The sequence below is a fragment of the Homo sapiens genome, chromosome 10, assembly GCF_000001405.40.
Source record: "Homo sapiens chromosome 10, GRCh38.p14 Primary Assembly".
Lineage (NCBI taxonomy): Eukaryota > Metazoa > Chordata > Mammalia > Primates > Hominidae > Homo > Homo sapiens.
The window spans coordinates 50,110,911-50,134,211 of NC_000010.11; the positions used below are offsets into that span (position 1 = coordinate 50,110,911).

At 42.1% G+C, this 23,301-nt stretch overlaps 1 protein-coding gene across 31 annotated transcripts in view; it reads left to right on the forward strand.

Annotated features, from left to right (window-relative positions):
* Positions 1–22,599, forward strand: part of WASHC2A (WASH complex subunit 2A) — a 65,556-nt gene extending 42,957 nt beyond the window's left edge. For 7 of the 31 annotated variants that reach the window (NM_001005751.3, NM_001437392.1, NM_001437388.1 and 4 more), the window contains 11 exons: positions 2,985–3,087; positions 6,996–7,148; positions 8,677–8,859; positions 14,203–14,331; positions 14,459–14,539; positions 15,147–15,269; positions 16,250–16,312; positions 16,673–16,885; positions 18,509–19,129; positions 19,991–20,168; positions 21,896–22,599. In NM_001005751.3, coding sequence (NP_001005751.1) covers positions 2,985–3,087; positions 6,996–7,148; positions 8,677–8,859; positions 14,203–14,331; positions 14,459–14,539; positions 15,147–15,269; positions 16,250–16,312; positions 16,673–16,885; positions 18,509–19,129; positions 19,991–20,168; positions 21,896–22,035 — 1,987 coding nt within the window. In that variant the 3' untranslated portion in view covers positions 22,036–22,599. Of the gene's footprint in view, positions 1–1,383; positions 1,499–2,984; positions 3,088–6,995; positions 7,149–8,676; positions 8,860–14,202; positions 14,332–14,458; positions 14,540–15,146; positions 15,270–16,249; positions 16,313–16,672; positions 16,886–18,508; positions 19,130–19,990; positions 20,169–21,895 lie in introns of those variants that run through there. The other 24 variants (NM_001291398.2, NM_001437390.1, NM_001437385.1 and 21 more) reach the window with 12 other exon arrangements.
* The last annotated feature ends 702 nt before the right edge of the window (positions 22,600–23,301 follow it).

Below are 23,301 nucleotides of genomic sequence, written 5' to 3' on the forward strand. Positions count from 1 at the left end.
AAAAAAGTTATTTGAATAGAAATCTGCTCAGCATTTAACACATCCTGTTAGGAGGAAGTTCCCTGTAGAGCTGTGCAGTATCACTCCAGGGGCTGATAACCCATAGCCAACCTAGGTGCCTCTCCCCATTAATGCTGGAACTGAAGCTGCTAGGATATTCAGAGTGAGCGTGGGCTGTGGTTGGTATAACATGCTGCCAGATTAGCTTATGGGTTCAGAATTACTTCCCTGCAAATACTTTTTTTCCTTTTGAAAGCCTGACATGATTACTTTGAAATTCACCTGAATGTTATTAGCAGAAAGAAGTAACTGATTGGACATGTAAATCCTATGCTTTGGTGTGGTTAAGCGTCATTTGATAGATTCAGAAGTACGTCAGGTTTCTGTCTCCAAATACTCGAATCTTGTCAAGCATCACCATTTCTGCATTAGGCCTCTGTAACTTGACACTCGGATGCATCTTTGGTCTCTGATTTAGAATATAGGCTCTGGAAACTTGATATTAAATTCTGATTCTGCCAGTTCCTGTCTGAATAACCTTGGGCAAGTTACCTAACTTCCCTGTGCCTCAATTTCCTCATTTGTTAAACAAAAATAAAAACAGCATTTCTCTCATCGGTTTGTTGGGATGATGAGGTGGAATCTAAATGTGAAATGCTGAGCACAAGAGCTGGCACATTCTGAGCCCTCAGGTATTGCCAGTTAGCATCGTGACTGCAGGGAAATAGTACATTCCTTTATTTTTGTTGCTCTCTCCTGGGACATTCTTCTTCCTGTGTTGCCTGGCCACCTTCTTTCAAAACTAAGTGTAAGTCTTGTTTCATAAGAAGCCTTCCCGGCTGGGCGCAGTGGCTCACGCCTGTAATCCCAGCACTTGGGGAGGCCGAGGCAGGCAGATCACGAGGTCAGGAGTTGAAGAACAGCCTGACCAACATGGTGAAACCCCGTCTCTACTAAAAATACAAAAATGAGCTGGGCGTCATGTCACGCACCTGTAATCCCAGCTACTCGGGAGGCTGAGGCAGGAGAATTGCTTGAACCTGGGAGGCAGAGGTTACAGTGAGCCAAGATCTCACCACTGCACTCCAGCCTGGGCAACAGAGAGAGACTCCATCTCAAAAAAAAAGGCCTTTCCTAACTTTAAACAGACGAGAAAGAGAAGAAGTAGGGAGTCGAGGGCGGTCATGGCTCCACCTTCATACCCCAACACCCTCAGCTGAGCATTTTCTGCACTGTATCCAGGTTAGCTTATTCCCATGAGTGTCCACTACCCCCACCCCACACAAGGTCATAAATCTGGCAGTCTGAACCCCATCTTGTTTGTGGGTCCTGGTTCCAGCCACACACCATACCTGGCTTTCAGGAATGCTTTCTCTGCTCCAGATACATCCTACCTCCTATTGTTCCCGAAGTTGTCTGTCAAGTTTTGTGTATGGAAAGTAATTCATACCTTCATCAGATCTCAAAAGAAGCTTTACACACACAAGAAGAAGTTGAGGTGAGGATGTGGAGGAATTGGAACCCTCATACACTGCTGGTGGGAACGTAAAATGGTGTAGTCACTTTGGAAAGTAGTTTGGCATTTCCTCAAAATGTTAAACATAGAGTCACCATATGACATAATAGTTTCATTCCTATGTATATACGTATAAAGAGAAATGAAATTAGTTGTTCATATAAAAACTTGTACATGAGTGTTTATTGCAGCCTTAGTCATAACAGCCGAAAGTGTAAACAACCCAAATGTCCATCAACTGATGACTGGATAAACAAAATGTATAACCATACGATGGACTGTTCTTCAGCAATAAAAAAGAATAAAGTAGCGATGCATCCTAGAACATGAATGAACCTAGAAAATTTTATGTTACTTGAAAGAAGCTGGTCACAGAAAACCACATATTGTATTGTTCCATTTATATGAAATGTATAGATAAACCACAGAGACAGAAAGTAGATTAGTGGTTGCCAGGGCCTGTGGGGCAGGGGGAATGGAGAGTGATGGCTCATAGGCATGGCGGTTCTTTTTGGGGTCATGATAATGTTGTGCACTTAGGTTGTAGTGATATTGCACAACTCGATGAGTATATTAAAGAAAACATTGAAGTATGCACTTTAAAAGAGTGAATCTGGATTAAGAAAACCATTGAAGTACGCACTTTAAAAGAGTGAATCTGGCCAGGTGCAACGGCTCATGCCTGTAATCCTAACTGATTGGGAGGCCAAGTGGAAGGATCTCTTGAGGCCAGGTGTTTGAGACCAGCCTGAGCAACATAGAGCGACCTCACCTCTCCAAAAAAGTAAAAAAATTAGCCAGGCATGGTGACGTGTGCCTGTAGTTGTAGCTACTTGAGAGGCTACTTGAGTTCAGGAATTTGAGGCTGCAGTGGGATATGATTGTGCCATTGCTCTCCAGCCTGGGCAGTAGAGTGAGACCCTGTCTTAAAAAGTAAAATAAATATTAAAAATAAAGTAAATACAAGGTGAATTTTATGGAATGTAAATTATGTCTCAATAACGCTACTAAAAAAAAGAAATAGAAGCCAGGCACAGGGTCATTTCCCAGTGCTGATCCTGGCCCTGTGATCTCTCTTGGCAACCGTCTTCATGACAATTCTGGAAATAGGCCTGTCCGCTTTGATTCTTTTTGTGCTATAGGAAGTGGGAGAGAATGTTCTGCTTGGGAAGGCTCAGGCATCGTGTGCCTTGCAGCGGTAACAGCTGATGAACCTGCACTGGATAGTAACAGGAAAGGGGCAACCTGAGGCAGGAGGGACAGAGGCTGGTGATTTGTTGGAGTCAGATTTCATCTATTTCAAAGGTCTTTCCTGTTTGCTTTCAACTGTGTAAGGTCAACTAATGGCTTGGGTGTTTGGGTGGTAGGTGGATTCCTGTAGGTGCAGTCTAGAAGAAATATTGTTGTTATGGTTTTTGTTTTTTTCATCACACTTTTCCTTAATTTGACCTTTTGTTTGTTTGTGTAGCCAAAAGAAGACCCAGAGAGTGTCACTCCTCTTTGAAGACGATGTTGATAGCGGAGGCTCTCTGTTTGGCTCTCCTCCCACATCTGTTCCTCCTGCAACAAAGGTATTCTTCATCTCTTAGTCCCAGGAAATGTCCTTGAGTTTATGCTGCATCAGTAGTGGTACTTCCCCGAATCAGCTCTTCATACCTAACCTTGGAGGCTGAGTCTTATGGAAGACCTTATTTGCCTGGTTTCAGAAAGAGATCTTCTGATTAATAGTATTCTAGAGAAGAAGCACACGTGCAAAACCATCATTCAGTGTCAGGTGTAGGAACAAGGAACTGGGTCTCAGAAGAGGCTTGGGCCCCATTGTCATGGAATTCTGCTAACATTAGACTAGGCCAGTTAAGGCAAAATCATTCCTTTTATGAGTGTGTGTCGAGTACTAACACTGGTCCTGGTTTATATTAGCCAGTCAGTAAAAAGGAAGGAAATTCTCACATGTGCTACAAAATGCATGAACCTTGAGGCCGTTATACTCTATCAGTGGAGAAATGGTCACACAGGTCCTAGTACAGTTAGACTGTGGAATACTATACAGTGGTAAAAAAAACCCAGGGTGGAGCTTATTGGGATGAAAAACATACTGCAGGCCAAAAAAAAAAAAAAGCGTAAACACGTAAACATGGTGTAATTTAAACTTTACAAAACAAGAAATACACATGAATGCCTGGAAACCGGCCTGAAAGCATCGATAGCACATTGTTACCAGTGATTATGTCCAGGGAAAGGTATGGAATGGGGAACTTCATACTCTCAATGCCTTTTTAAAGCCTTTTTAAGGAAGGCATTTGTGCATTACTGTGGAATTAGAAATAAACTCCAAACAAAAAATATCTAGGAGATATGGAAGAAGACCCTTCCTGTTAAATGGAGTTGCTCAGCTTATACCAGAAGCTCTCAGCCCTGGGCCAGCATGCTGCCCACCCTGGGCCCCAGGCTCCCTGCTGCTGCTTCTACGGGGCTCCTGAGCCTTTCCTTGGGTGCTCTGTACTTACATCTCCCCCTTTAAGGACATCCAGTGGTTGTACAATTAAAGGAGTCAGGAGATCTGATTGGTTTTTCTTTGTAAATTATAAATAAACTACTCTGGAGGATAACTGAGCAATAAATTAATGAATTTTGGAGCCTCTGGAGCTGTAAAACTTCTTTCAACCTATGGTAATTATGATTGTTAAATAAAACAAAAGGTCAAGACACACAACTTAAGTAGCTGAATAGCCTACACGTTTTTGATTATTTGTGAAATATAATCATCTTTAGACAATAGTAAATAAAAGATATTTCTTGTTTACAGATATTTCAGTGTAAGTTAATTGTGACTTGGTTGTAAGCCTATGTTGACCAAAAGGTTAAACCACAGGCAGGAGAACTTAAAGAAATGTAATGTGAGTTTTGTTTTGAGCCAAGCTTGAGAACTACTAGCCCAGTAAAGAGACTCCACACAAACTGAGAATGCGTCCCAGAGTGGGCCACACGAGACACAGCATTTATACATTTCTGTTATATAGAAAATGGGAAAAGGGGGCAGTGAAGCAACGGTGACTTTCTTAATTCAGATTGGTGCTCGGTGACATTGAATATAAGATAAAGTAAATATGTGGTTAATGTATTTTCCTCATTAGCCTTTTACCCTAATGAGTACATAGGGGTCGCAGTTGCAGGGTCAGGAGAGGGATGGTTGATTTTGTGCTGCCTTTGTGCTTCATCCAATAGGCAGGTTGTAATCGGTGCCTGTCAGTGTGATATTTGACAGACTCTGGCCTTGCAGGTGAGGTTCAGCTTTCGTTCATAGGCCCGGTTTCTATTACCCATATGGCCAAGATGCAGCCATTTTAGACAATTTTTTTTTCTTCAGACTTTCCTTATTTTCTGACACCTATCAAGAAAGTAAATTTGACCAGGCGTGGTGGCTCACGCCTGTAATCCCAACACTTTGGGAGGCTGAGGTGGGTGGATCACCTGAGGTCAGGAGTTTAGGACCAGCCTGGCCAACATGGTGGAACCCCATCTCTATTAAAAATACAAAAATTAGCCAGGCATGGTGGTGCACGCCTGTGATCCCAGCTACTAGGGAGGCTGGGGCAGGAGAATCGCTTGAACCTGAGAGATGGATTTTGCAGTGAGCTGAGGTTGTGCCAGTGCACTCCAGCCTGGGCAACAGAGTGAGACTCCATCTCAAAAAAAAAAAAAAGAAAGAAAAAAACAGGAAGTAAACTTCATGACAAGGATGAGCTTGTCTTCAAGAAGATTAAAACTGGTACTTTGGGTAGCATTTTCTGTGGTTTAAGGACCTTAGTTATATATGAAGGAAGAATATGATTTGCCATACTTAAGTCTCTTTTTGTCTCCCCTATCAACTATTTGCATTGAATTATTATTATTTTTTTTTTTTTTTGAGACGGAGTCTTGCTCTTTCGTCCAGGCTGGAGTGCAGTGGCGCATCTTGGCTCACTGCAAGCTCCGCCTCCCGGGTTCACGCCATTCTGCCTCAGCCTCCCTAGTAGCTGGGACTACAGGCACCCACCACCATGCCCGACTAATTTTTTGTATTTCTTTAGTAGAGACGGGGTTTCACTTTGTTAGCCAGGATGGTCTCGATCTCCTGATCTCATGATCCGCCCACCTTGGCCTCCCAAAGTGCTTGGATTACAGGTGTGAGCCACCGTGCCCGGCCTGCACTGAATTTTTATGTAGTTTTCAGTGAGTCCAGGATGTTCCACAAAAGCCTTTTCCTTTGATTACTTCAGTGTTGCCTTATCTCTTCTGAAATTCTTTATGCCTTCCAGTGTTCTTTTATGTTAAGTTCAATGGTTTTGCACTTTACTTATCTCTTCCTAACTAAAAATCCCCTTGCTCTCTTCTTTCTTCATTCATCACATTTTAAAATCATGATTAGCAATGTCCTTCCTTAGTTTCCCAAATCTGCCTTCCTAACTTGATTTAGGCATTGCCTCAAAGCACACTTCCTCGTGTCATATGGTATGATTTGTATCTGTACTATACTATAATAGATCTTTAGTTTTTTCTCAAGCACTTGTTGATAAGTCACTTGCTGCAAAAATGCCATGAATTCCAGGAAAGTCACAAACCTCAGTTTCCTAGTCCCCAAATCCCTGCCTCCCTGATAAGGAAGAGATGAGAAATGGGCTGAAGTGCTTGCAGACTTGTATTGAACACTGAGTTGGTATAAAACACTGGGACTGTCCATGAAAATATAGTGTATAGTCCTTTCAGATGAACAGACAAACAGATGTGTGCTAGCTGTTATATAAGTTAGGAAGAAAGTCAAGGAAGGGTCAAGTAGAGAGATAAATATTATGCTTATTCAACAAAGCAACTGACACTTAACTGAAGAGGACAGAGACCGTGGGTGACATCTGCGTGGGGGCCCTGCTTGAAGGATGGGGAGGATTTGCACCTACAGACATCGAGGGCAGCGTGGCATGGAAGTTTGAAAGTTTGCAGCGACCTTAAGGAACAGCAGGGAAAGGAGGAGATGCATATGAGTAGAGGGATAGAATGGGGTATCTGCTGAGTGTCATTTGCTTCATGCAAGGAGTGCTGGTTTGGGTTGGGAGAGGACCTGATCCAGCAGGTGTTTTGTTTTAGCAAGACAACGCTGGATAATGTCTTCTAGTTGAAATATAAGAGGAGTGAGGCAGAGAGAGAGACTCATAATCGTCTGGTGGCAGAGATAAGGATCTGAGGGAGGGAGGCATGGGGGTTGACAGACACAAGTAGACAGATACAGGTGATGTGGTGGCGTGAAGTGTCCTGTCCACAAGTCCCGGGTGGTGGTGTTTGTTGCTTCTCCCTTTTGGTGCTACCTTCACTATCCTGTCCTCTCTTCCTTGATCACATTTAGCTGAAGCCCTAAGAGGATGGTTTGGGCTTGTTCTGTATATGGCCATGCTGGTCAGACACACTTTTTTATTGTTGTGGATGTCATGTACTCTTCTTTTGGTAGAAAAAAGAGACTGTCTCTGAGGCACCACCTTTGCTGTTCAGCGATGAAGAAGAGAAGGAGGCACAACTTGGAGTGAAGTCTGTGGATAAGAAGGTTGAGAGTGCCAAGGAGTCATTAAAATTTGGGAGAACTGATGTGGCTGAGTCAGAAAAGGTGGACTTTTTTCTCTTGTATACTTGAATGCATTTGTCTCTCGTATGTTGTTTCAAACACACACAACCCCTTAAGTTTTTTGACCACAGAAAATAAATGGCCCATTTGTAGACAGATTTGAAAACATAGACAAGCAGGCTGTGTCCCCACAGTGCAGGAAGCCTCTGCAGGGCCTTTCCTCCCGGCCCTTCTCCAAGACATGTGCGCACTGTGGTGTGCCTGCTCCTGTCTCTGTGGTTACTGTCACGTCATGGCATCTTTGCTTTCTAACTTGTTCTCTTCTGTGCAGTGTTCCTGTTACCCTTGGTCCTCCTTTGGTCCCCAAGTGCACTTGAATTTAAATGTCAGTTTTAAGGAGATTTTAGTTTAGCATCCTTTTACTTTTAGATGATATTGGCAAGGATTACAGAGTAGAGTGAAATTTCTACTCTTTCTAAAACACTAGCTTTCAAGTCCTGGACGGTCTGCCGTCTCTTGCAGGAGGCCTGTGGGTAGTTCTGCTGGCCACACCTGGGCATCCAGCTTTGTGGTTGCCTTCAGTCTCTATATGCCTCTTTTCTTTCTCTAACTTTTCTTATACGCTGTGTGTCCAGCTGCTTAGGTCTAAGATCTCCCAGGGCCTGTGTGAAGAGCGTTGCATTTGCATTTGCTGCTGAGGCTCCTTGGAGCTACAGTGATACAAGCATTTCATTTGTACCTGTGTTCCTGTGTGAAATTCTCTTCCTAGTGGCTGTGTGTGGACCCCAGTCCTATCCCAGTCCTGGTCCACACTTGACTCTGACTGGTTGCTGTACTGCCCTCTCCCTGAGTGTAAGCCCCTTGCGGACTAGGCCCAGTTTGTTTTGCTCACCATCATATCTGTAGTACTGGCATATTACCTTGCACACAGTAGGCACTATGTTATAAACTTTGTATTTCTTTAAAGAAGCATTTTTTTAATAGTTTGAGTACTCTGAAATCGGGATGTACCTCATAATCAATGGTATCTTACCTGAAATGTGCCATTTGTTGAATGAATAAATACTGCATTTTAGAATTATTTCAGAGATTCTTCTTCAATTGCCTATACAGTGTAAGCCTTTTACAATTTGAGGGTCTGATTTTCCTGATTAGATTTCCCCCTTGGGGCTTATGTATTAGTTAAATGCTACGAATTCATGGTCCACTCCCAATGATTGGCACTTGTATTGGTTATCTTTGACACTTAGAAGTTCTTCCTAGTTCATGAGCAACCAGTGTGCATCAGGATTATAGCCATCCTATCACTTGATAGGAGAGAGGGACCCATGGTCTTAATGCTTGGAAAAGTTATCTTTGGCTACGGATGATTGTACAAGACTGTCTCTTGGAGCAGCCAATCAAGAATTGACCTCAGTGTTTTGTTACTTGGGCACAGATGTGATTCACTGTGCCCTGAGTCATGCAAATGTGGCAGTTACTGAATTAACGAGAAGCTTGGCAGGCTCCATGATAGGATTTGTATTTCCAGGTGTTACTTATTTTTTCCCCCTATTATTTTCATTTTCAGGAAGGACTTTTGACTAGATCTGCTCAGGAAACAGTCAAGCATTCTGATTTATTTTCTTCATCATCCCCATGGGACAAAGGAACCAAGCCTAGAACCAAAACTGTTCTTAGCTTGTTTGATGAGGAAGAGGATAAAATGGAAGATCAAAACATTATCCAGGCTCCACAGAAAGAAGTAGGAAAGGTAAGCAAAAAGCAATAGTGGTTCAAGTCTCTGGATGAGATAAAAGACTCTCATCTCATGGTTGTCATTCTGTCATGTGAGTTTCTGAAGGAATCTTAACCTTCAATGTAGTGTGTTAATGATTCTGTGCAGTCATTTAGATATTTGGGAATCTTAATCAGGAACTCTTACCTCAAGTAGCAGTGTTAGGATAGGGGATTAGAATTTCACCCCCCCTCTTCTGGGATTTACAGACCTTGTTGTTCCTTCTAGCAAAACTTTGCCCCTTGGCCAGTTGTGGGATGTAAACAGCAGGAAAGGGAAGTTAGGCTGGAGTTGTACAGTTAAGTATTTCTAACATTCAGTTTAAGAAAAAGTGTTGTAGATGAACCTTTCATACTGATCAGGTGTCAGCAAACTATTTCTATAAAGGACCATATAATGACTATTCTAGCTTTTGCAGCCTATTTGGGCTCTGTCATAACTGCCTAGCTCTGCCATTGGCAGCATGAAAACAGCCCTAGGAAACATGAAGATGGATGGGCATGACTGTGTTCCAGTAAGTTTTATTAATAAAAATAGGTGATGGTCAGCTGGGCATGGTGGCTCACACCTGTAATCCCAGCACTTTAGGAGGCCAAGGTGGGTGGATCACAAGGTCAAGAGATCGAGACCATCCTGGCCAACATAATGAAACCCTGTTTCTACTAAAAATACAAAAAATAGCTTGGCGTGATGACGCTTGCCTGTAATCCCAGCTACTTGGGAGGCTGAGGCAGAAGAATTGCTTGAACCAGGAAGTCAGAGGTTGTAGTGAGCCGAGATCGCACCACTGCACTCCAGTGTGGCAACAGAACGAGACTCCATCTCAAAAAAAAAAAAAAAAAAAAATAGATGATGGTCATTCTGTGAGGTTAGTATGACCCTGATATTAAAACTAGACAGTGACATCACCAGAAAGCTAGATATCCTTTATGAATGTAGAGGCCAAAATCCTCAACAAAAATACTACTAAACCCAATTCAGCAAAATATAAAAAGGATTGCACATTATGAGAAGTGAGATTTACCCCTGGAATGCAAGGTTGGTTCAACATCTAAAATTAGTTGATATAATGCACTGTATCAATAAAATACAGAATTAAAAGGCGCATGATCATCTCAACAGATGCAGAAAAAGCTTTTAATAAAATCCAAACCTTTTCATGGTAAAGCACTCAATTAGGCATAGGAGGAAGCTTAATGAACTTGATAAAGGACATCTATGAAATCCCTCAGCTGACATCATACTTAATGGTGAAAGACTGCATGCTTTTCAACCCTAACATCATGAACAACACAACAATGTCCACTCTTGGTAATTCTAATCAACCTTGTACTGGGGATTCTAAGCAGGCCATGTAGGTGAGAAAATGAAATAAAAGGCATTCAGATTGGAAAGGAAAAAGTGAAATGAAGCAATCTGTATTTGCAGATGGCATGATCTTTTATATAGAAAGTCTTAAGGAATCTGCAAAAAACATCCATTGGAAATAATTAAAGTCATTAAGATTGAAGGATGTAAGATCAATATGTGAAAACCAATTGTAGTTCTGTAAGCTAGTAATGAACATTTACTAACTTACAAAAGTTACTACTAGTAACTTTCTTTTTTTTTTTTTTTGCAATGGAGTTTCACTCTTGTCCCCCAGGCTGGATTGAAATGGCACAATCTTGGCTCACTGCAACCTTTGCCTCCTGGGTTCAAGCGATTCTCCTGCCTCAGCCTCCTGAGTAGCTGGGATTATAGGCACCCACCACCATGCCCAGCTAATTTTTGTATTTTTAGTAGAGACAGGGTTTCACCGTGTTGGCCACGCTGACCTTGAACTCTTGACCTCAGGTGATCCACCTGCCTTAGCCTCCCGAAGTGCTGGGATTACAGGCATGAGCCACTGCACCCAACCTACTAGTAGTAACTTTCATAAGCAATTACCAGCTTATGAATGAAATTAAGAAATCAGTTTCTTTTATAGTAATACCAAGAAGGGTAAAATACTTAGGAGTAAATTTAGCAAAAGAAGTACAAGACTTGTAAACTAAAATCTACAAAACATTGAAAGAAATTAAAGACCTAAAATTGATGGAAAGACATCTCGTGTTTATGGACCAGAAACCTTAATATTGGTAAGGTGGCAATACTTCCTTCCCAAATTGATTTATTGTAATCTCTATCAGAATTCCAGCTTGCTTTTTGCAGAAATGGACAAGCTGATCCTAAAATTTTTATGGAACTGTAAGAGACCAAGAATAGCCAACAGTCTTGAAAAGGAAGAACAAAGTTAGAAGACTCACACTTCCTGATTTCAAAACTTACTTTAAGACAGGATGGTATTGGCATAAGGTTAAAATATATAGATCAGTGAAGTAGAATTGAGAGTCTAGAAATAAACCCTCACATTTACAGTCAGTTGCTTAAGGTGCCAAGATATTTCAGTGGGGACAGAATAGTCTTCAGCAGATGTGCCAGGATGCTGATTATCTACATGCAAAGGGATGAAGTTGGACCCATTAATAAATAAACTCAGATCCAATGTAAGATCCAAATGTAAGAACTAAAACTGTACAACTCCTAGAATCTAGAGAGTATGTGAGTAAATTATCATGACCTTGGATTAGGCAAAGCCTTCTTAGATAAGACACCAAAAGCACAAGTGACAAAAATAGCTAAATTGGACTTTATTTAAATGAAAAACATTGTGCTTCAAAGGGCACCATCTGGAAAGTCAAACGACCACCCACAAAATGGGAGAAAAGATTTACAGATCATGTATTTGATAAAGGACTCAGATCCAGAATATGTAAAAGACTTATAAGTCAATAATAAAAAGACAAATAGCCCAGTTGAAAGAAGGGATAGGCCAGGCGTCGTGGCTCATGCCTGTAATCCCAGCACTTTGGGAGACCAGGACGGGAGGATTGCTTTAGGCTGGGAGTTCAAGACCAGCCTGGGCAACATAGCAAGATCCTGTCTCTACAAAAAATTTTAAAAATTAGCCAGGCCTGGTTGCGTGCTCCTATAGTTCTATCTCCTTGGGAAGTTGAGGCAGAAGAGTCCTTTGAGCCCAGGAGTTCAAGGCTGTAGTGGGCTATGATCACACCATTGCACTCAGGCTGAGTGACAGAACGAGACCCTGTCTGAAAAAAAATAGGTAAGACAGACATCTGAATAGAGATTTTACTGAAGAAGATAGACAAATGGCCAAAAAGGATATAGAAAGATGCTCAGCATCAGGGAAGCCAAAACCACAGTGACATACCACTTCATACCCGGGAAGAGGACCATAATAAAAAAAAAAAAAAAGGGAAGTAACGAGTGTTGGTAAGGATGTGGATAAATGGAAATTCTCATTCCTTGCTGCTGCAAGTGTGGAACAGTACAACCACTTTGGAGAACAGTTTGCTGTTCTTCAAATTCTTATAACATAAAGCTACCACACAATCCGGAATTTTATTCCTGGGTACATATCCAAGAGAAATAAAAACATGTTCACACAAAACTTGAATATGATTGCTCCCAGCAGCATTATTCGTAATAGCCAAAAGATGGAAACAATGGCTAAACATAATATAGTATATCCATACAATGGAATATTATTTGGTAATAAAAAAGGCAAAGTACTGATACATGCTGCCACATGGATGAACCTTGAAAACATTCTAAATAAAATAAGCCAGTCATGAAAGACCACATATTATGTGATTCCATTTATATGAAATGTCCAGAATAGGCATATCAATGGAGACAGAAAGTAGATTAGTAGTTACTGGGGGCTGGGAGTAGCAGTGAGCAGGAATGGATAATTACTGCTAATGGTTTGGGGTTTCTTTTGGGAGTGATGAGAATATTCTAAACTTAGATTGTGGTAGTGGATACACAGATCTGAATATACCAAAAAATCATTACATTTTATACGTAAATGGGTAGATTTTATGGTATATGAATTTGATCTCAATGGTGATGTTATGCAAACCAGGTTGGCAGGTCATAGATTGCCAATCCTTTTTATAGATCTAACCAAAGAAATAGTCTATGTTTATTTCTACAAAAAATGTTATATGAATTTTTTTGTTATACCAATACTATAAGCTTATTTATAAATGAGAGCTGCACACAGTGAATATGATTAATTTGATATATTTTCTCCCAGTCTCTTACTGTGTATGGTTTTGTAATATTTTTCCATAGTTGTGAAATATTTAACATTACTTGCTGTGTTAAACTCATTTTTATATATAACAATAATAATTATTGTTAATGTGATTTATTTTGTTAGAAGTAAGTTTTTCATTAGTTTTTTTGGTTTTTTTGTTTTGTTTTGTTTTGTTTTGTTTTGAGATGGAGTCCTACTGTGTTGCCCAGGCTGGAGTGCAGTGGCGTGATCTCGGCCCACTGCAGCCTCTGCCTCCCAGGTTCAAGGATTCTCCCACCTCAGCCTCCCAAGTAGCTGGAACCACAGGCACACGCCACCACACCCGGCTGATCTTTGTATTTTTAGTAGAGGTGGGGTTTCACCACATTGGCCAGGCTGGTCTCGAACTCCTGGCCTCTGGTAATCCACCCACCTTGGCCTCCCAAAGTGCTGGGATTACAGGCATGAGCCACCACGCCTGGCCTTTTTGTTAAGTTTTAATCTGTGGCTGTGATAAGGAAATAGGGATGAATTTTAGAATGTCAGGTCTGGAGCATTGTATTATCAAACCAATAATGTTGATGGTAACTTTTAAATGTTAGATATCTAGTAAACAAAAAGGGACTCACTCGGAGTCTGAAAGTAGGGCAGAAGTGATGGACAGCCATAGGAAGGCTTGTGGTCGCACCTGTGCCAGGTCTTTGGCCTGCAGTGCTTACAGGTGAGGGACACATACTTGACCACTCTGTGTAGTTTGTGCTTGATTCAGCTGCTGTCTCTTCTTCCCTTTGGAAATGAGATGAAGAGAATTCATTCAGTTTTATGTTTTTTACCTTCAAAATGTTTCTCATTATGGAACTAATGGATTGCTTTTCTAATAAAAAATTTAGATACTATACAAAGTTTATATAATATATATAACCTGGAAAGATTATCTCTAAAGCTTGTGCATATATATATATGTAAACTTTGTATTTATAAATATATTTTCTGGTATTTTTGGAAGCGCCATAGCATTCCATTTTGTCAATGTTTCATTCCCCTACTGAGTGGCTTTTAGGCTGTGGCCAGCCTTTTGCTAATATAATACAGCTGCAGGGGACATCTTTGTTGTGTCCATCTTTACATATGTAACTTCCTTGAGATAAGTTCTTACAGCTCTAATCACACATGACCTTCCCTCCTGTTCCCAGGGCCGCGATCCTGATGCCCACCCCAAGAGCACAGGTGTCTTCCAGGATGAAGAGCTGCTTTTCAGCCACAAGCTCCAAAAGGACAATGACCCAGATGTTGACCTTTTTGCTGGCACCAAAAAAACCAAGGTCAGTTCCAAATGGTTCCCCACAGTATGACTTGTTATTGTATTGGGTGCTGTCTCAACAGCTCACCTAGTTCTCTTTGTAAATTGTTTTGCTTTTGGATATTGAACTTGGGTCTTGTTTATTCTAGCTGTTAGAGCCAAGTGTTGGGAGCCTGTTTGGGGATGATGAAGATGATGATCTTTTCAGCTCTGCCAAGTCCCAGCCTTTGGTACCAGCCTTTTGTTCTCAATACTGGGTTGTGTGGGAAAGATTCTGGGAAAGGAAACTAACGTCCAGTTAGATCATTAAGGAAAATCCTAGGAGAGTCGTGCTGCTTCCTACTAAATGAATGGCAAATAACATGCTGAGGGGAGCGTGTGTGGAGGATGCAATGCTTAGTTTCTGTTGTTCCTCATTTTATGTTCCCTATACTAACATTAAAACATTAATAATCCAGGCTCTCTGACTGTACTGCACATCTGTGTGATGTTTAAATGGTTGATTGAAAGACCATTGCATACACTGGGGTGACTAAATATTCGTGCCTTTCAGGTGCAAAGTTTTGAGTCTGAGTTTTAGCCTTTCTATGTCATTTTCTCCCCCAGCCCCAGTAGGTTTTTGTAAGTACTCTGTTTTCTTTTTATCATAGAGAGGACTCCTGTGACAGCCACAGTCTTCAGAATGCTATTTCTGAAATGCTACCTTTGAGTTGGTTCAGCCCTCATTTGAGAAAGTATTTTTAAGACTCAGAAGCCAGGATTGTTTTTTGCATTATGATTTTTCCTTAAAATTTCTAAGATATTTGATGGCTTTTTGGTATTTTTTTTCTTTTGAAGGTACAAGAGAAAAAGAGAGTAGTGAAAAAAGACCACTCTGTTGACTCTTTCAAAAACCAGAAACATCCTGAATCCATTCAAGGTAGTAAAGAAAAAGGCATATGGAAGCCGGAAACACCTCAGGTTAGAAATCCTCTTTAAGGATTTTCAGCTCTTGTTTGCATCCCAGTACAGAGAAATTCCATTATGCAGACCCACAGTTATTCAGACTTGTCTGCATTAAGGAGGAAACAGCAACCAGGGCTACCGCTTTGTCTTCACTGCACTCCCCCCAAGTCATCTCCCCTCTCCTCGCTCCACACGCCAGAGTTTCATGAATCTATACTTTAATAGTTAGTGTTTTTTGATGCCATGCCAGATTTAACTCTGAAGTGGAGTTAAGGTAGGATGAAGAATCTTCTTCCCACTAAAGAATTTATTTCTCCCTCTGGATTTCCTTGGAATAGAATTAAAATAGAAATAAATATAAATTACATCTGATTTCCTGCCTGCTCTCAGTGTTGCCTCTCCCAAGGTCATTGCTGTTGGGCCGTACTCTGCAGCAGTCTTCCCAGAACGCTGTGGAGCTCCTCCTGGGAACAGCCCAGGACTGGAGAGCGAGTGCCAGTTCCACGTGCAGGTGTCCCAGGGTGTCTCACTGAAGCCTTAGTGTCCTGAGCCGTAAACCTGAGGCACTTGGACGAACACATCACCACTGACCCTTCCTGGGGCTCAGATCTTTTGCTTTTAGAGCCAGTGCATTAGGCTATGGTTGAATTTTTGTGTGCTCCTTGAAATTTCTATTTGATAACCAACATGGTAATTTTGCCTGCTGGTCAGTTTTAGGTGCTCTGATAAACTGTGACTCTTGGGAATCTTACTCATCTTGTATTCCTTGACTCCATATCTGATCTGGCAGCTTTCCACTTACGTGACAGAGGAGGAGGCATACGTGAAGTAGTGCTAGTGAAACATCAGGCCCCAGGAGAGATTTGAATGCCTTTCCCATTAAAGAGCTACAGAAAGTGACAGTTTTGCTCCATCACAGATTTATTTACAGGCATAAGAAACACTTGTCTTTCTGTTTCCCAAATGGATTTTTAACTGGATGTAATTTTACACAGGACTCATCAGGTCTCGCTCCATTTAAAACCAAAGAACCATCCACTCGGATCGGGAAGATACAAGTAATTAAAACACTGGAATCTTCATTGCCTGCCCTGTGGCATCTATAAACTTTTTTGGGTTTCCTACTTTTGTCAGCTGCTGCCAAGCATCTTCTCATCTCTTCCCCCGCCTCCCCTCCCCTGCACCTAGTTGTTGTCTCCTGTGTGCTGCGTCTTTAACATCTATTTTTTGAGCCCAGTGGTGGGCATAGGTGTAAGACGCTCTGTTTTAATTCTGAGACTAGATCGGGCGATTTTCCTACGTTTCTCTACTCCTCTCGTATTATACATTATGTGCACCGAATCTTGTCATGTGTCACAATAAAGATAATAGACTGCTGTGTTGAAGAACAAATACAGAGTTTCATTTTTCTTCTTTAGGCAAATTTAGCGATCAACCCAGCGGCCTTGCTGCCCACAGCGGCTTCCCAGATCTCTGAAGTAAAGCCTGTTTTGCCAGAATTGGCTTTTCCTTCATCTGAACACAGAAGGAGCCACGGTCTGGAAAGTGTGCCTGTCCTTCCCGGGAGTGGGGAGGCCGGTGTGAGTTTTGATCTTCCAGCTCAGGCAGACACCTTACACAGTGCAAACAAGGTGATGAAACCATCTTTGCTTCCTTGCTCTCTTCTTTTAACCAGAACATGCATATGCTTCTTTCTAGTTTATCAGTTGCATACACAGCAGTCTTTGACTCTCCTTTTGAAGGAGGTGCCTCATCCTTCCTTCAGCCACTCCCCACTCCATTCTCCCCACCCCCCTCATCCTGCACCTGCTTTTCCGTGGCCTGCATTTGGTACATTTGCATTCTGCTCAGTAGCCACAGTAACGTCTCACCACTTTGGCTGGTGTCTGACACCTGCAGGTTTCCAGCACTGCCACCTGGGGGTCTTCTAACCACAGAGCAGATCATGCCCCTCCTGCTGGCGCTTCCTCACTACTCCAAGGAGAGCATTCGGGCTCCTGGGTTTGGTATGAAACCCCTTTGCAATCGGTGCCAGCCCATGTGTGCAGCTTCCTCACTAGTCACTTCACACTTTCCAGCCTGACTCCAGGCACACCAGGTGCCACTCCCTGAACACACATGGTCTGTTCTGCTGCTGCCCAAGGCTCCTGCTGCCTCCTCACCAGGAATGCTCCTCTCTGTCCACAGCTGTGCTTCCACATCCCCACTTCTGTGACTGTGCCCTGCACTCCCCGCACCAAGTTCCCACAGCAGCGACACTGTTTCATGGGATCTCCTCAATGGACTGTGAACCCTTTGAAGTTTTCCTTTCATTGTAGTTGGGTTTCTTGTTTCTATCCAGTCTCCCTTCTCTAGAAAGCTTTAGCTGATTTCCAAGTAAGCGACAGGACACAGAATGACCTACCCCGGCAAATAGATTCATTTCAAATGTTTCCAAACCTGTTTCCTTGTGCAAAACAAAACCGCCTTCCTTTTAAAGAGAATTTTCATTGGCTTTTTTTTAGTTAAGTTTAAATTGGCAACTAAAATTGTGACATTCCCCTGAAGTTGACAACACAATCATACTTTGCCCAAAGTAGATTGTAGCTTCTCAAAATTCTACTTGATTGTATATTTTGGAAACTATCATAAATACTGCATCATTGCTACTAAGTGATTCATGTTTTGAGATTATATGAAAAGTTCTGATTTCTAAGCCATATTTCTTATGTGGAATATTTAACGTTTGAATTCAATGTTTATTGACTTGAAGAAAACAGCACCTTAGATTACCTCTCTTTATTGTGTCATGTTTCTCCCCGCTCCTGGAGCCTGAATTTAGACTAGCCCCCTAACAAAGGTTAGTACCAGAATTCCCCGATTCTTTCTTGTTTTGAAAGATACCCACGTTTCTATTGAGGGTAGAGTAGGGGCCAAGGGAGGGGTTGTGAGACAGAGAGCCAACATACCTACTTTCCAGGTTTCCAGCAACAGATAAAACTTTTTGTGTGAAACTGAACTGAAACTGCCCTGAGAAGATTAAAAAATGGAGAACTCTAAAGGATTAAGAATGACTTAGTCTTGGAGTACTAGGAGCTATTAAACTCCTTCCTTGGAAATCATTAAGAAATAACCTCTTCTATGTTCTTAGATAATATCTTCATTGAAGTAGACCAGATAACCTTACAATATTTTGAGTCACTGATTCTTTGCCATGGTAGCTTTGAACACTTTATTTTATCGTCAGATCAATGTGTGTTTTTTTGCCATTGCAGAGCCGTGTCAAGATGAGAGGGAAGCGTAGACCGCAGACCCGTGCAGCTAGGCGGCTGGCTGCTCAGGAGTCCAGCGAGACTGAGGACATGAGCGTCCCCAGAGGACCCATTGCACAGTGGGCTGATGGCGCCATTTCCCCAAATGGCCATCGGCCACAGCTCAGAGCAGCCAGTGGAGAAGACAGCACTGAGGAGGCCCTGGCAGCTGCCGCTGCACCTTGGGAAGGTGGTCCTGTGCCTGGAGTGGACAGAAGCCCCTTTGCAAAGTCTCTGGGTCATTCCAGAGGGGAGGCTGACCTTTTTGATTCTGGGGACATCTTTTCCACGGGCACTGGATCTCAGTCTGTGGAGAGAACAAAACCCAAGGCAAAGATAGCAGAGAATCCTGCCAACCCACCAGTGGGTGGTAAAGCAAAGAGCCCCATGTTTCCTGCTCTAGGTGAGGCCAGCAGTGATGATGATCTCTTTCAGTCTGCTAAACCAAAACCAGCAAAGAAAACAAATCCCTTTCCTCTCCTGGAAGATGAGGATGACCTCTTTACAGATCAGAAAGTCAAGAAGAATGAGACAAAATCCAATAGTCAGCAGGATGTCATATTAACAACACAAGATATTTTTGAGGTAATAGGACTTAACACGTTTTTGTGTCTGTTCTAAGTTAAGGAAGGTATCTGATTGGCTTATTTGAGCCATAGATTATGTCTAGCTTGTTGCGTGCATACCCCATAGCCACTTGCTTAGTAATTATAATTAGGCTCTTTTATTAATAAGTTTAACATTGATTCAGAAGTGGTTTTTTGTTTTGTTGCATGTAGATTGTATTTCTTGGCTGGCCATGATCATTGATACTGGTCTTGGTTTCTCTAGTTTTTACAGTTTTTTTATTTTTATAGAATATTGTAATCAGCTTCCTGGGCATGCCACTCGGTGACATGGCATACAGCTCCACTGGTCCAGCTTGGGAGTTTAACCTCTGGTTCTGGGGACATTGGCCCTGGCTGGAGCTGACAATGTAGTGCATGCAGGCAATAAGACTTTCAGTGGCATTTGCTCAGCAGATGTTTATTGAGCACCTGGGGACTGCAGGCACGAGGTGAACTCAGAGAAGTGCTAGGCTCCTCAGAGCTCTCTGGGAAGATAATCAAATACAAACAGGGCAATGGATAATTAAGATGTTTTCAAATAGTACTAAGTGTCATGAAGAAAATAACCTGGGGCAGAGTGGTGGGTAGGGCTGGGAGGTGCTCCTTTAGGCAGGACTGGTAGAGAAGGTGTCACTGCAGTGCCGGCATTTGAGCCGGGGTGAGATGGGCGGGCCAAGCTGTGCAGAGATCTGGGGTAGTGCATCCCAGGCAGAGTGGGCAGTCTCGAGGCTGTTCCACACACCCTGGCCAATTGTATTTCCATAGCTCGTTGTTGTGTTTGAGCTTAAAAAGAAAAATTGATTTAACATTATTTTGTATGTATTTTTGGCTTAACAAGGATGATATATTTGCTACGGAAGCAATTAAACCCTCTCAGAAAACCAGAGAGAAGGAGAAAACATTGGAATCTAATTTATTTGATGATAACATTGATATCTTTGCTGACTTAACTGTAAAACCAAAAGAAAAGTCCAAAAAGAAAGTGGAAGCCAAGTCTATATTTGATGATGATATGGGTAAGTTTGGTTTTCTACATCTGACCTAGAGAATTCTTACCTTTCTGTCACTTGGTATTTTTCTTGCTACCTTTTCTTGGCCCTTTTCTGGAAAATGCACCCCAGCGGGTTCACTTCAGTGTAATCCTGAGTTAGGCTGAAGATAGGTAAGAGATGGACTAATTATTTTAGTGAAGTAACTCTTTCCTATGATAGTCATCAAAGAATTTGAAGGCACCCAGAGTTTGACGTTTAAGTATAATTTAACTTTGATCTCAGTGCACCTCACCAATCATCTGTGACACACCCCGGTGTTATGAAAGGAGGTTTGATCAGAAATGACCTCACGTGCTAAAGTAGGCTGAGGGGACTGCCTTGGGTGTGATGTGGTTGGTTGAGTCAGAGCTCCAGATAGACAGGGAGTGTCCATGGTTCTGTGCGAGAAGAGAGCAAGTCTAGACCTGGGTGTAGGCTCTACCTCAGGCGTTGCATTTCACTGAGGTCTTTGGTGTTTGGGAACAAGCTTGTCTTCCTTATATGGCACAACTTCTGCTTTATTAGTAGACAAGGCAAATGCCCGAGAACCCTAAATATTGGACTTTTGATAAATCCTGTGGGCTGAGGCCACATACACATTTCCTACTCTCCCCATCAATCTAGACCTTGAGACTAACTGGGAGACAGCTGGTGCTGCAGAGTCACACACTGGCTCTGTGCCTCCAGCAAGCCGTGTGCTCTGTCTCCCCTGCTTCCCGCCACATGGAGTGCAGAAGGGAACTCATTCATTATTTTAAATACAAAAAAAGTAATACATGCTTATTGTAATAGATTCATGCAATTCAGAAAATGTAAGAAGTGAATAACCCCTAGAGGTAATAGTAACAGTTTGGTGTGTATCCTTTCAGACACAGTGATATTAATATATGTTTGTGTACACATCAATATATACCCACCTTTTTAAAAAGTAAGAATATATTTACCTATTCTGCTCTGTCTTTTAGTTACTTAATGTCTTTTCATGTCAGTACATAGAGATCTCCTTCCTTGTTTTCAGTGGTGTGCACGATTTCTTTGTATTTAGCCATTAGCCTGTTGACGGCAATCTCAGTTGTTTCTGTTTTCTTTATTACAAATAATGCTGTGGTCTTTACCATTTGTGTACACCTAACTTTATGTATACATGTTAAATCATGGTTGGATAAAACCCTAGCAGTAACATTACTGGGTAAGTACCATAATTAGATAAGACAAGCTTTTGAGTCAGTGAAACACTAAAAGAATGCAGTGACGGAGGCTTACAGTCTTACATCGAGATGCCTCAAATCAGTGCATTTATTCTGAAAGAAAACAGGTGGGTCCTATGTTGGATTTCCCTTTGCGTATTTTTATTGCTCTTTTAAAACCCAGTATGAAAAGAATATCTAAATAAGTCCATTGTCCCTGATGGTAGGGGCGTGGGCTGGTTTGGAGATCAAGTTACGCTTCCCTTTTTTCTGTCCTACACACGCACATACATACACTTTTGTAGCTGAAGAAATTGTGCTCCAAGAGAAACCTGTGTGTGATCATAAAATTTAATGAGTAACAAACACAGAACCAGAATCTAAGAGGCTTGAGTTCTAGGTTAGTGTTTTAGGGTACTCCATGCTGTTACCAGAGCTGGGTCTTTGGTGGTTTGCTTGCATGTGTCTTAAAAGTACCTTTCTCCACCCCTCTTCAGCAACCGTTCTTCTTTTTTCTTTCTAAAGATGACATCTTCTCCTCTGGTATCCAGGCTAAGACAACCAAACCAAAAAGCCGATCTGCACAGGCCGCACCTGAACCAAGATTTGAACACAAGGTGTCCAACATCTTTGATGATCCCCTGAATGCCTTTGGAGGCCAGTAGAGCACACAGGGTATCCACATGTTACCCTGCAGCTACATTGTTGAGTTAGTGATGATGTTGTATATGCTGATGGTCTTAACTGGATTACAAAAAGCAAATACTAGAACAGCTAGCTCATCGTTCACCCAATGTACTTGGTATTTTTCTGCACTGGTTTAATCATGCTTAATACTACAAAACAAAAATAAATATTTCACAGTGGTTGGTTTGTTTTGTTTTTAAACCACAGTTTGATTTAGTTAGCCTTGCTGGGGCCATAATATGCTTCAGGGTGTGTAAAAGAAGAAATCTCTTTGTGGCTTTCATGGGCAGGGAATCCCAGAGATAGCAAATGCCACCTGACCAGAAGTCTTTGTTATATGGATGGGAACCCTAACTTAGGGCCTGGGCAGGGGAAAGAGAAAGAAGGTGAGAGATTATACTTCATGAGTCTTAGCAATATGGGAGCAGGTTTTCACTGAATTCTGAGGGTGCCTCTGCATGTCCTCCAAGGCAAAGTTTGGCAAACTGTGGCCCCCCCACTGTCATATTTTGTTAATAAAATTTTATTGGAACACAACCACATTCATTTGTTTACTTACTGTCTATTGCTGCTCTCACCCTACCTCCAATGTAAGAGTTGAGTGATTATGACAGAGACTGGATGGCTCACAGAGCCTCAGATGTTTTCTATCTGCCCCTTTATATAAACAGTTTGCTGACCATTGCTCTAAGGCATCCTTTTCCATCCTTGTCTTGTGGAAGCAGCAGAATGAACCTAGGTAATAGCCAGGGGAAGTGCTGAAGATGGAAATGTCAGCCTCTAGAGCAGCACTGCCCCATAGAACTCCGCAGGAATGAAAATGTTCTTTATCTGCATCGACAAAGGCAGTAGCCACTAGCCACCTGGATGGCTGACCCCATTCTAATCTGTGTTTTTTGGTGCTCTGTCATCTTGCTGCTGACCTATTCAGCCTGTCACCACAGCACAGTCTTGTAGGCCGCCCAGGTTGGTCTCAGCGATCCTGGAGCTACTTACTTCTTCCTTGGGCACTGTAAGATCGGAAGGGGAATTACTCATACCCAGAGTCAAACATTTTGTACAGCTTCCACAGGTCAACCATTTGCCCAAGTCTGCTGTGAGAGTGACGTGATAACAGATAAGGGCACTTGCTAGTTGGCCACTCCTTTCCCCTATTCATTTTATGCATCTTCCTTCTGTCCTTAGGTTGAGATCTCCGAGTCGCTGTTGTCAGGCAGACTGCTGTCCTCCAGATTCAGGCCTGT